Source organism: Homo sapiens, chromosome 8 (assembly GCF_000001405.40).
Source record: "Homo sapiens chromosome 8, GRCh38.p14 Primary Assembly".
NCBI classification, from domain to species: domain Eukaryota; kingdom Metazoa; phylum Chordata; class Mammalia; order Primates; family Hominidae; genus Homo; species Homo sapiens.
The window spans coordinates 60,553,341-60,566,686 of NC_000008.11; the positions used below are offsets into that span (position 1 = coordinate 60,553,341).

Here is a 13,346-nt window from a genome sequence, read left to right on the forward strand (position 1 = left end):
TTAAAGTCAGCTGATTATGGATTTTTATTACTTGTATGATGCCTTCACAGCAACGCCTAGATTAGTGTTTGATTGCATAACTAGGGTAGGGCCTAGCCAAACTGATGCATCAAAAAGACCGTCATTTTGTTTTCATTTTTATTGAAGTATATTATGCACACAGAAAAATGCATATATACTAAGTGTATAGCTCAAATAATTGTTATAAACTGGACACACTCAGGTAACCAGTACTGTACAGGGTCCCTTTTGTATCTATATATTTAATTTGCTTCTTATAACAGTTCATTGAGGTGTAGAGATTTCCTCCATTTTATAGATAAGGATTCTAAGGCTCAGAAAGGTCAAGTACCCTGTGTTACAGCTAATAAGTGACAGAGCTGGGATTCTAATCAGGGTTTTGAGGCATATATAAAGTATTATGGGAGCCCAAGGCTGAAATTGATTCATTCATTGGCGTATATGATTGTGGGGGCTAAACCATTAGTTTTGCTTGGGGATTGGTAGAATCTTTGGAACAGGAATGTTCTACCAAAGAGGGTATATGAAGCTTTGAGTTGTCTTAAAGCATGAATTTAAATTTGCCAGGGAGTGAAAAGTTCCTTTATAAAAGGTACCAGCAAAAAGATATGATATCATTTCAGGGGACAATGGTTTGTTGTTGCTAACTATAGAGTCTTTACACTGTATTGTCATAGTATTAATCTCTTAGAGTAATAATTTTCAGCTCAAAAAGAACCTTGTGTACTGTTTTGAAGAGCTTGAATTTTTATATTTTAGTCAGTGTGACATGAGAGTGAGTTAATTGTATCTGCATTTTAGCAAACATTTTCACAGTGGTTTACAAAATAGGTTAGAAAGGCTGAAGGCAGAAAGATCTGGTTCTTAGTGAGAACCAGAACTAGAGCACTGATGATTCAGAGGAGGGTAGAGCATGGAATTTATGAAGACTTGCAGAGAGAATTGATGAGATTGGTGAACCATTAGAGCTGGATGATGAAAGAAGTGGAGTAATTAAGGATGATTCCAGGTTTCTTTTAAGTATGATCTATTGGGAAACAATTCCAGAGATTAGGAAATACTGAAGGAGAAGCTGTGTTTTGTTCTTTTCTATCATGGGTAGGGTGAATCACAGGTTGATTGGGAGGATGATGAACAAGAGAATGAAAAAGAATGAATTCGGTTCCGTAAGTTTGAGTTTTGGAGCTGAAGGTATTGAAGTGTAAATGTTTAGTAGGCAGTTGGAAATAATTGGAGTGAAGTTAAGGTGGTGGATTTGATAATCACTGACTAATTTATAGAAGTAGGTTGAGGACCAGCCTGGCAACATGGTGAAACCCCATTTCTACTAAAATACAAAAAATTAGCTGGGCTTGGTGGTATACGCTGGTAGTCCCAGCTACTCAGGAGGCTGAGGCAGGAGAATTGCTTGAACCCGGAAGGCGGAGGTTGCAGTGAGCCGAGATTGCGCCACTGCACTCCAGCCTGGGCGACAGAGCGAGACTCCGTCTCAAAAAAAAAAAGAAAGAAAAAAGAAATAGGTTGAGGCCACGGGACTGGATTCGTCCTCTCAAATGAAAAGTAATGAAAGGCAGAGTGGAGAGTGTTGAGGAAGACCTCCAGTATTTTCAGGGTTATATGGAAGAAGAGGAGTTGGTTGTCATAGAATTAAGACATCAAGGAGATAATTGTAGCCTGACAAAGCCAGAAGAGATTATTTTCAAGGAGGTTGTAGGCAGATACATTATATAGATACAGTTTATGGACACAAATATATTTGTCTTCAATAAATTGTGCTGGGAAAACTGGATAGCCATGTGCAGGAATAAATTAGACCTCTGTCTCTCACCATATAGAAAAATCAGCTCAAAGTGGATGAAAGACTTTGGTCTTTCAAAACTAGACCCAAAACTGTAAAACTACTAGAAGAAAATATTGGGAAAATGCTTCAGGACATTGGTCAAGGCAAAGATATTATGGATAAGTCTTCAAAAGCACAAAAAGCAAACAAAAAGGCAACAAAAGCAAAATAGACAAATGGGATTATATCAAACTAAAATCCTTCACAGCAAAGGAAACAATCAATAGAGTGAAAACACAACTTTTAGAATGGGATAAAATATTTGCAAACTATTTATCTTACAAGGGATTCATATACAAGGAACTCAACAATAAAAAAAAAATCTGATTTAAAAATGAGGGAAGGATCTGAATGGACATTTCTCTAAAGAAGATACACAAATGGCCATCAAGTATATGAAAAAATGCTCAGCATCAGTAATCATCAGGGAAATGCAAGCCAGTACCGCAGTGAGATAACATCTCATCTTAGTTAGAATGGCTATTATCAAAAAGACAAAAAAGAACATGCTGGTGAGGATTCAGAGAAAAGAGAATTCTTATACACTGTTGATGGGAATTTAAATTATAGTCACTAAGAGAAACAATATCAAGATTCCTCCAAGAACTAAAAACAAAACTACCATATGATCCAGCAGTCCCACTACTGGGTATTTATCCAAAGGAAAATAAATCATTATATCAAAGTAGTGTTAATATCTGCACTCCCATGTTTGTTGCAGCACTATTCACAGTAGCCAAGATATAGAATCAACCTAAGTGTCCAGCAGTAGATGAATGGATAATGAAAATGTGGTAAATATACACAATGGAATACTATTCAGCCATAAAAAAGGATGAAATCCTGTCATTTGTGGCAACATGGGTGAGACTGCAGGACGTTATGTAAAGTGAAATAAGTCAGGTACAGAAAAGTAAATACTGCATGTTCTCGTATCCACAATAAGTAGTAGCTTAAAAAGTTGAGCTCATAAAGGCAGAAAGTAGAATTGTGGGTATTAGAGGCCGGGAAGGGTAGGGGAAAGGTGAGGATAGGGAGTGGTTGGGTAATAGGTACAAAATTACAGCAGGAATAAGTTCTCCTGTTCTATAGTACTATAGGGTGACTATGATTAATAATTTCTTGTATATTTTCAAATAGCTACAAGAGAGGATTTTTGAATGTTACCAACATAACAAAAAATGATAAATGTTTGAGGTGAACAGATATGCTGATTACCCTGATTGATTTACACATTGTATACATGTATATCACTCTTATAAATAAGTACAATTATATGTCAATTAAAATTTAAAAAAAAATTTTAAGAACACGGAAACTAGGTGTAGTGGCACATGCCTGTAGTCCCAGCTACCTGAGAGGCTAAGGTGGTAGGATCTCTTGAGCTCAAGAGTTTTTGGCCAGCCTGGGCAACATAGTGAGACCCTACCTCTTTTTAATAAAAAAAAAAAAAAAAAAAAAGAGGAAGAAGAAGAATATGGAATCCTGAAAATGAGGAACCAAAGAAATAAGCATTTTCTGTATTTAACCAACACTTAGTCAGAATGAGATTAGTATTACTAGAGTGATATATATTCTCTCTTGTGAAGTGGGAAAGGGTTTTCTGGTTCTTCTATCACTTAAATGATTACCAAACTCTTAGATGATTCTTGAAGTCTCTCAAGAAAACATGTGATTTCTAACTATATATATTTTTTCTATACCATATGAAAAAATTGGGGATGTTAAATAATTGCTCACCTATTTTGAACTTTCACACCTTTTAAAAGATCATTTTTCTTTCATGCTAGGTTTTGGACATAGAGCAAATTCCTTTGGTATGCTTGATAACTAACTCTTTTAACTTAGAAAAACTGTTCTTTTGTCTTCTGTCCTACACCTGAAAGTCTGTTCAAAAGAGTTAAAAATTGGGTAAAATGAGTTTGACTTTGGGCCTTTTGTAATAGAACAAAGAAGAAAACTGTAAGATCACATGTTTTGAAATTCCAGTTTCTTTTCACTGTCATTTCTTCAGAAAGATTTTCTCCATCCCAGCCGGGCATGGTAGCTCATGCCTATAATCCCAGCATTTTGGGACGCCGAGGGGGATGGATCACCTGAGGTCAGGAGTTTGAGACCAGCCTGGCCAACATAGCAACACCCTGTCTCTACTAAAGATACAAAAATTAATCGGGCATGGTGGTGTGCGCCTGTTATGCCAACTACTTGGGAGGCTGAGGCAGGAGAATTGCTTGAACCTGGGAGACGGAGTTTGCAGTGAGCTGAGATCAAGCCACTGCACTCCAGCCTGGGTGACAGAGCAAAACTTCATCTCAAAAAAACAAACAAACAAACAAAAAAAGATTTTCTTCATTCCTTTTGTCTAAATTAAGTATCATTTGTTTGTTTTTTGAGAGAGTCTCATTCTGTTACCTACCCTGGAGGTCAGTGGTGTGATCATAGCAGCCTTGAACTCCTGGGTTCAGACTATCCTCCCACCTCAGTCTCTCAAGTAACTGGAACTACAGATGCGCACCACCACACCCATCTTTTTTTTTTTGTCTTTTTTTGTTTTAAAAGACTGTCTCCCTATGTTGCCCAGGCTGGTCTTGAACTCCTGGGCTCAAGGCCTACCTTGGCCTCCCAAAGTGCTCGGATTACAGGCTTGAGCCACAGCACCAAGTTTGTTACCCTTTCTCATAGCATTCTATTTTCTTTCAAATCAGTCATTATAATTATTTCAAATTATTCATATACAGTATATTATTTCAGTATTCAGTTTGTTTAATTTCTCTACCTGAACTAGACTGTAAGCTCTGTACACAGGAACCATGTTGGTTTTCCACACTACTGTATTTTCAAGTCCTAGTGCAGTGATACTTAGCATTCAATAAAGACTTTGAGTAAGTGAGTGAATGAATGAATGAATGGTGACTGCTTTTAGTATTTTTAGAAGTGCAGGATGCTATCAATTAAGCAGCCTTTGTCTAGTGTGAGGATGAGGAAATGTTTCTTAGAGGACTTGAAAATGAGTAAGAAGGGGGTATGGTATTCAGTATCCAATTTTCCTTAGAGGGCAAGTAGGATGAATATAGAAAATTTTCCTTTGAATTTAGAAATGTGGGAGTCATTCATGACCGTAACGGGGTCAATTTTAATAGAGTGAAGGAATGCAATTCAGATTCCATTTGCTTGTGAAATGAATTAGCGAGAAAACAGAGCAAGGAGCTTTTCCCAGAAAAGTAGATCTCAGACACTTATTGCTGGCTTATTTGTTTGTTCATAGGGGAGTATGATAAAATGAACTATTAACTATGCTTTAAATATTTTCACTGTAACACAAAAAACAAAAGTGCACAAAAACAGTACTGTAGTAGAGGCTACCAGAAGGACCTGGTTAGTTGTCATCTGTGAGTTTAGCTGCCATATTTATCTTTCACATTGAAATATTAAATGTGTAAGAAAGGGTGAAAATGTACTTTAGATTGGTTTACAGCTTCCACCTAAATCATCAGTCCTCTTATTTTGCAAGAAATTAGAGTACTGAGGAAATCATGGTAGATTATTCACAGTGCACCAGAAACCCTGGCTGCCTCTTTTCCATGTCCTTTTTGTAAAGCATCTTAATTTCTGTGAATTTTGTCTCTTATTTATTTTTTTTTAACTTTCAGGTGTTGGTAAATCATGCTTATTGCTACAGTTTACAGACAAGAGGTTTCAGCCAGTGCATGACCTTACTATTGGTAAGTTTTATAAAAGGGATGAGAAGCACTAAAAGTTTTGGATAGTTTAAATGGAAAATGCTAGAAGGTCCATTCTACTAGTGATGATGCTAAAATCAGTGAAACTGGATTTGTTGTTACGCTGTTTAATCTCTGTCACTTTTTTAAAAATATGTGTAGTAAAAATAAATATTACCTAACTTTGTAGAAGTGGTTAAAGAAGCTACTGCTGAAAGACAGTAGTTTTTAAGATTTCAATTGTAATTAGCGATGAAACAATTTAAGAGACAGTATCCAAGCATGGTAAGAGCAGAAACTTTGACTCAGCTTGCTGGAAGTTAAATCAAGTCTCTGCTACTAACTTGCTGTGCAAGCCATTTCCCCGTTTCATGTCTCAGTTTCTCTTTCTGTTCAATGAGAGTAGTAGTACCAATCACATGAAGTTACTGTGAGCAGTGAGTTAGTAAATGTAAACCATTCAAGTGCCTGGCAATGTGGAAAGTGCTCTAGACTTTCTCATAATTATTAACTGAGAAAAAATACCACTGGGCATTTTGTATTTTCCTCAGTTGTAAAGAGTAAATGAAATAGTTACTGGTAAGAAATAGTCAACAAATATTAGCTGTTATTATTTAAAATAGTGATTTTCCATTGTATTAATATGCAAAGGAAAAAATTAAGATGAGTGAAAAGCTAAAAACTTTAGGTAATCTTACTGTTTCGGGTTTTTATTTGTTTAAAAATTATATTCTGAAAGCTGAAGAATCTAGCTGGATTATTCTTCTGTGGCTGTAGCCCATTAACAACTAGAAATTAGTCAAATATGAAGACGAGATAATTGGAAATCTAGTCATTCTTTACAACGAATTGCTTAATGAATCTTTTTAGCCACTGACTGCTCATTTTCTGCTGACATTATTAATTTACTATTTATAGCATGTTGATCCTTATGTTCTGTGTGTTTTTAAAATACCAAATCAGAGATAGAGCTCATGAATCACATTATTAATTAATAGTTTTCAACCAAGCTACAGGTATAGTACTTTGTGGATATATTGAAATCTTTTGTTAGCAACTACTGTCATTAAGACTATCCGTATTCTATTTTACTTTTGATAGTTTTAAGTGTATACAATAATGATGGGTAAAACAGGTAACTCATGCTGGTCCTGATAACTTTGTTTTAACATTTTGTTTTGTTTTTTGAGAAAGAGTCTCGTTTTGTAGACTAGAGTGAGGTGCGGTGGTGCAATCACAGCTCACTGCAGCCCCCAAATCCCTGGCTCATTATCTTCCCATCTCAGCTTCCCAGGTAGCTAGGACTACAGGCGTGCACTACCATGCCTGGCTAATTTTTTGTGTTTTTGGTAGAGACAGTGTTTTGCCTTGTTGCCCAAGCTGGTTTCGCACTCCTGGGCTCAGGCGATCTGCCGGCCTTGGCCTCCCAAAGTGCTGGGATTACAGGTGTGAGCCACCGCACTGGCCTGTTTAATGAGCTCTCTTCGCTGCCCTCTCTATAGGATTTGCTCTTTGCTTAATAGGTTTGAAACTAGCCAACTTTAGGCATGACTCATTTCTAAGACAACTGGCAAAACAGTTGTATTTAGTATAGGATACTAAACAACAGTGTTCTTCCTTTTCTTAGAATCTTATGTATAAATTTCTAAGTTGGTATGGCACACCGAGTGGAGAGGATGGACCTGAGCCTGCTGTCAGAAGTTGACTTAAGCCCAGCGTGTCCAACCCACAACCTGCATGCAGCCCAGGACAGTTTTGAATGAGGCCCAACACAAATTCATATATTTTCTTGAAACACTATGAGATTTTTTTTGTTTTTTGTTTTTTGTTTTTTTTTTTTAGCTCATCACCTGTCAGTGTTAGTGTATTTTATGTGTGGCCCAAGACAGTTATTCTTCCAGTGTTGCCCAGAGAAGCCAAAAGATCAGACACCTCTGCCATAGGCTATACTTGCGGGGAAAGAGAAAGGAGTAGACCCAAGAATTGTTTGGAAAACTGTAACTCATATAAACTGCCAGCTGGCGTCACACTATGTTTGCTAATGGCAGGCACTGGGAAATAAGAGTCTGAAAGAAAAGAAAAACCAAGGATCTTTTTCTCCTTGGGTTGACTGTGTGTTCTCCATTCCTCTGGCTCCAGCCCCTGCCTGGCAGGCCCAAATGGTCTGGTTCTTGAGCTCTGATAATCTTTTTCCGTGTCATCTTTCCAGCCTAGGGGTGGTAGCAGCTTCCTGCTGTTTGTAATCTCTGGGTTTATACCCCATCTCTTCTTTGGGTTTTTGGGGGCTTGCTCTTTACTGTAACCAAGTCCCTACATTAAATTCCCTATGCCCTATGTACTTAAGTGTAGTTTCTGTTTTTCTGGTTGCACTGACTGGCATACCGTTTTTTTTCTTTCTAACTTTTACAGTTGGTTGTAAATGACAAAAATTTACCTAGATGGTTTTAAACAAAAGGACAATTTATTATTTTAATATTTAGGTGTGTCTCAACGTGAGGGCAGGGAGCTAGCTGGGTCAGCCTGGAACCAGAGCTCAGAGCTCTTAAGGAGGGAACCCGGGAAATCCTGTTTCTCATTCTCCCATCCTTCCCTCATTGTCTCCCATTCTCTTCTCATGCCTATTTCATTTTTCTCTCTCCCTGTTGACCATTGTTTTTGATTTTCCTGTCTCCATGTTGGGAAATGGCCATTGTCAATAACTCCAAAGTTCATATACCATTCAGGAGAGCAGAGATTCTCTTTAACTCAATTTGAAGTTTCCTAGGGACGAGAGTTCATTGGCTCAATTTGGTTCAGGCTCACTTATCTCTTGTTCTGTCCACTCTTTTCATGGGCCCAGAATCACTTTTGTACAACATGGTTTCCAAATTGGTAGTCGTAGGAGCAATCTGGGTGAGTAGTCATACATAGCCACTACCAGAATTCCCTCACACCTAGCTATTCTATTTAGTCATCATGTCCTTATCTTTTGTCCCCTGTAATGATCAGTTCTCTACTCTGTTTATAAACCATTGACTCCTGAGCTCATGATTCTTCTCAGTCTGCCTCTCTTGCTTTCTCTCTTACTTTTCCCTAACACGTATAGACACTATGTGCCGTCAAGTCTTTGCTGCTTGCTACTCCCTGAATACTTAGTACTTTTTCATACCCTCAATCTTTCTCTTCTCAGAGGATGCCATTGCTTGACATCTCTGCTTATTACAGTTCTTTTCTGAACAACTGTCCATATCCCAAACCATAGCTCCCATTTAAAGGAGGTAAGATTTGTATACCCACGCCTGTGGAGAAATATTGTTAACAGGAAAGGAACAAGTACTGTATAGGCACACAGTTTCAATATAATGCTCCACACCAATAGGGATTCTTAGTAGCTCATGCATTAGAAATCCATTGTTCATAATCAGGATTAGTCCTCCTAAAAAGGCAAAGCAAATTTTATGGAAGATGAATGTAGGAAGTCCCATCTTTTTACCTGCTGTGTGTTAAGGGAAACTACACCCAGTACACATTCATAAAATGGATTGTTTTTTGTTGGGGTCATAGTCCAGCCATGGCTTTAGCAACAGTCTGTTATTAAAGAACAAAGATGGTAGCTAACATGAACTATTTTTTTAAATTGAAATTTTATTTTAGATCCTATAAAGTGAATGTAAATGTGCTCTATACATTCACTATGCAGAGTCTCAATATTTAAGATGTTTCAGGATATTTGAGGTAATGATACTTAAAAAAATTATCTGAAGCAAACAGAATATTTAGGATCATAAAACTGTTCTGAGCATACTGATAGGTGCTTAATGTTCATTGTCGATAATGATAATTACATTGTTTTTACTGAAAACCATTTTTTAAAGTGAAAGCCGACCCAGTTGCTCTTCCTCTGGAAGAGGAAGAGTAAAGGGGTGCTTCTTGCCACTACCACTTATGTAGAGTTGCATATATACATTGAAAGGGTATTCAGTACCACCATTCATTCAGTCAAGCTAAATACAGGCCAGTAGAAGCAGTATTGTTAATGCATGTTTTTGCCTTCATTGGCCCAAGGCCTACTTAACATTTTTGACACCCATCACAGCAATTTATCTTTCAGAGATAAAAAAAAAATAGCAGATTATTATCACATATTTTTAAAAAGAACATTAGAATTTTTGGTAAAATAAGTAGTAAGACAGTATCTTGACTCTGCTGCATACTTGCTTTTGCTGGATGACTAAATGAGGGTGAAAAATTTAAGGTTGGTTTATGACTAAGAAGGTATTAAATGATAGAAAAGAGAAAATAAAAGACCGTAAAAGTTTTTAAAAGCCTCTATACAAATATTCTTTAACCTTTGACTATCTTTGAGTCATAGAAACAGTTTATAAATAGCTTCATGGACACAATTCAGAAGGTACAGACTAGAGCCTTGCTCCTCAAAAGATGGTTCATGTGCTGTTGTGCTGGACCAGCAGCAGCATCAGTATCACGTGGGAGCTTGTTAAAGAACCTACTGAATCATAATTTGCATTTTAACAGGATCGCCAAGTGATTCATATGGGCACTGAAGGTTAAAAAGCACTGGAGGTAATGGCTTTTAAATATTGATTACCCAGCTGGAAATACACTTTATGTGCTTTGCCTTGTGCACACATCCTGGCCTCTCAGTGGCTTTACTTCTCCCCGCCGTGTGATCTTGGTTCCACCCTGCTTCAGCTACTCCCTCCCATAGTTTCTCTCAGAACTCATCATTACCAATATCTGGAACCATTTCAGAATTTAGTTTCATGCATTTGACTATTTGACTTTGTATCCCATCCTTCCTGCTCACTTTCTTTAGTCCCTAATTACTAACAATTTTTTTACCTCATCAGAATTATGCCATTGATTCTAGTATCTTTTCACTCTCATCTCTCTTGTGTTGCTACTTTCCTCCTTACCCAGATTCAACTTTAATAGCTGTGCCCTTATAATCATTCCTGCATGCACCCACAGTTTTCTTGTCCCTCTCATGCTGTATCATAGTCTCGTGGCTAAACCATAGGTTAAATCTAGCCATCTATTCCTGACATTTACAGCTAGACAGGTCTGGAGAAAAGCACAGAGCCATGCTAACTAGTCTCATTTTAATTTCTTGGACACTCACATCAAGTAAATCCTTAGTACTACCTGACAATTGTACTTTTATTTCCATTATATTCACCCTTTAGTTTCCTGTAGAACGATATCATACTTTCTTGCTCTTTAAGCAGACATCTTTGCTATCTTTACTCTCAGCTGATAACCTTGGTTTTGGTTTCACTCAGAAAATAGAGGCAAGTAGAAGAGGATTTTCACAGGTTTCCACCACTGCATTGACCCACCTACCTGCATTGTGCCCTATAAACTAAGCCTTTCCCTTGGTGCTGTGGGTAAACTTAAGTTCTTAGCCAGGGCCTACTGAAGGACACTGCTTTAGTAGTTCTTTTTGCTTTCAGGCATCATTACTTTTTCCTTTTTTGATGGTTATTTTTAATGTCTCTATTTTCTTTTCCAGCTTTTAATCCTTTTCTCTCATATTAGCAAAATTCCACAGAATGAATTGTTCATATTTTCTGTCTACAGTTTCCACCTATTTTATGAACCCATTCCACTTATCCCTCCTCCCCCATGTACAGATCTAGCTACTTACTCAACATCTCCTTCTCTTAGATGTCTAATAGACATCTTAAACTGAACATGTCCCAAATAGTTTCTGATTTTTCCTTCTCAAGTCTTAAGATGAGTGTATATGTACATACCCATATTCATACCCATACCGCATTCATACCCATCCTCCCACCTAGATTTACTGTTCTTAACATTTTAAACAAGTAAATATAAGTAAATAGATTTTCCCCCACCAATAAAAAGTAAGGTCCATGACAGCAGATGGTTCTCTGTTTTGTTTATTGCTGTATCTGCACCTGGTACATACTAGGGACTTTAAAAATATTTGCTAAATATACTACCTACTTAGTGGAGGAAAACTTCATAAAGCTGTACTTGCCATTGCAGGGCTTAATGCTTGCATTCCTATATGTTATACTATTCAGTTATGTTGTTTACAAATAAGGCACAGCCCACTAATTCCCACTACATTTATTTCACTACCTACAAATGGACAGTTTGACCAATGTTAGTCTAGCGGCTAGGCCATCTATATGTTGATTTCACCTTCTTACCTATCTCTCCCACTTCCTTAAACCAGTCAGCCTATAAGAAATGATTGCTGGGCTCATGCCTATAATCCCAACACTTTGGGAGGCAGAGGCAAGAGGATCGCTTGATGCCACATGTTTGAGACCAGCCAGGGCAACAAAGCAAGATCCCATCTCTACAAAAAGTTTAAAAACTAGTCAGGCATGGTGGCACACACCTGTAGCCCCAGCTACTTGGTAGACTGAGGCGGGAGGATTGCTTGAGCTCAAGAGTTTAAGGCTGCAGTGAGCCATGATAGCACCACTGCACTCCAGCCTGGGCAACAGAGCAAGACCTGCCTCAAAAAAAAAAAAAAAAAGAAAGAAGTAAATGATTGGTGGAAATGAAAGTATACTTTTAGGACAAAGTAATAGAATTGAAGCATCATTTCTTCCATCAGGCTCACCACAGGAAATCAGTTTTAAAATATACCTCATTTATTTGGGATTCAGTTTTCTAGTAACTTGAGTTGCCTAGAACAACATTGCCAAGAAGTTAGAATAATAGTTTAAAAGACCTCTCGAACTTCTCATTAAGCTCTGAAAAAGTCTCTGTAGCTGATTTTTTTTTTTTTTTTTTTTTTTTTTTTTTTTTTTTTTTTTTTTTTTTTTTTGAGACCAAGTCTCGCTCTGTCACCCAGGTTGGAGTACAGTGGTGCCATCTTGGCTCACTGCAACCTCCACATCCCAGGTTCAAGCGATTCTCCTGCCTCAGCCTCCTGAGTAGCTGAGACTACAGGCACGTGCCACCACACCCGGATAATTTTTTGTGTTTCTTTCAGTAGAGATGGGGTTTCACTATGTTAGCCAGGATGGTCTCGATCTCCTGACCTCGTGATCCACCCGCCTCGGCCTCCCAAAGTGCTGGGATTACAGGCGTGAGCCACCATGCCTGGCCCTCTGTAGCTGATTTTTAAAATGTGAAAGTATTTTCCTCTCAGAATATGATCATTGTGAAAATGTTGTAAAAATCTGGAGAAAGTTAAATTCCCTATATAACTTTGGCCCTCCAGCAACCACTGAGTGGTGTATGTTTGGTGTGTGTTAGTGCCTTCTAAAGCTTTTAAATGTATTCCTAAACACACACACAAAGCTGTTCTAATTTGCACTTTCCCCACTGATGTATCAAAGTGCGCATTCCTCCTCATCCTTGCTTCTACTGCAGCTCATTCAGTTTTTAATGTTTGTAAATTAGAGTCAAAAAAATTTTTACTTTTTCGTTCTTTTTTAGTGAGGCTGAGCATTTTTCGTATGTTTAAGAACTATTTATCTTCTCTTTGATTTTACTTGTTATATATCTTTGTCTTTTTTTTGTTTGCTACTTTGAATTATTAAGGGATAACTAGTTTTTTTGTTTTTTTGTTTTTTAACTCAAATCTACTGTGGCTTCCTAGCCTTGCTGTATGCAAAAATTACATACAATGTCCTAAATATTCTTCTGTAACTATAAATTTGCATTCTATTTGGTATGTGGTCATGTATATCATTTTCTTTTTTTAAATTTTATTTTAGATATGGGGGTACATGTGCATGTTTGTTACATGAGTATATTGTGTACTGGTGGACATTGGG

At 37.4% G+C, this 13,346-nt stretch overlaps 1 protein-coding gene across 2 annotated transcripts in view; it reads left to right on the top strand.

Moving 5' to 3' along the window:
• Positions 1-13,346, top strand: part of RAB2A (RAB2A, member RAS oncogene family) — a 106,735-nt gene that overhangs the window by 36,431 nt on the left and 56,958 nt on the right. The window contains exon 2 of one of the 2 annotated variants that reach the window (NM_002865.3): positions 5,512-5,583. The exons of the other annotated variant lie outside the window; for it this stretch is intronic. Within the exon in view, the coding sequence (NP_002856.1) occupies positions 5,512-5,583 (72 nt within the window). The remainder of the gene's footprint in view (positions 1-5,511; positions 5,584-13,346) is intronic. 2 annotated transcript variants of the gene reach the window in all.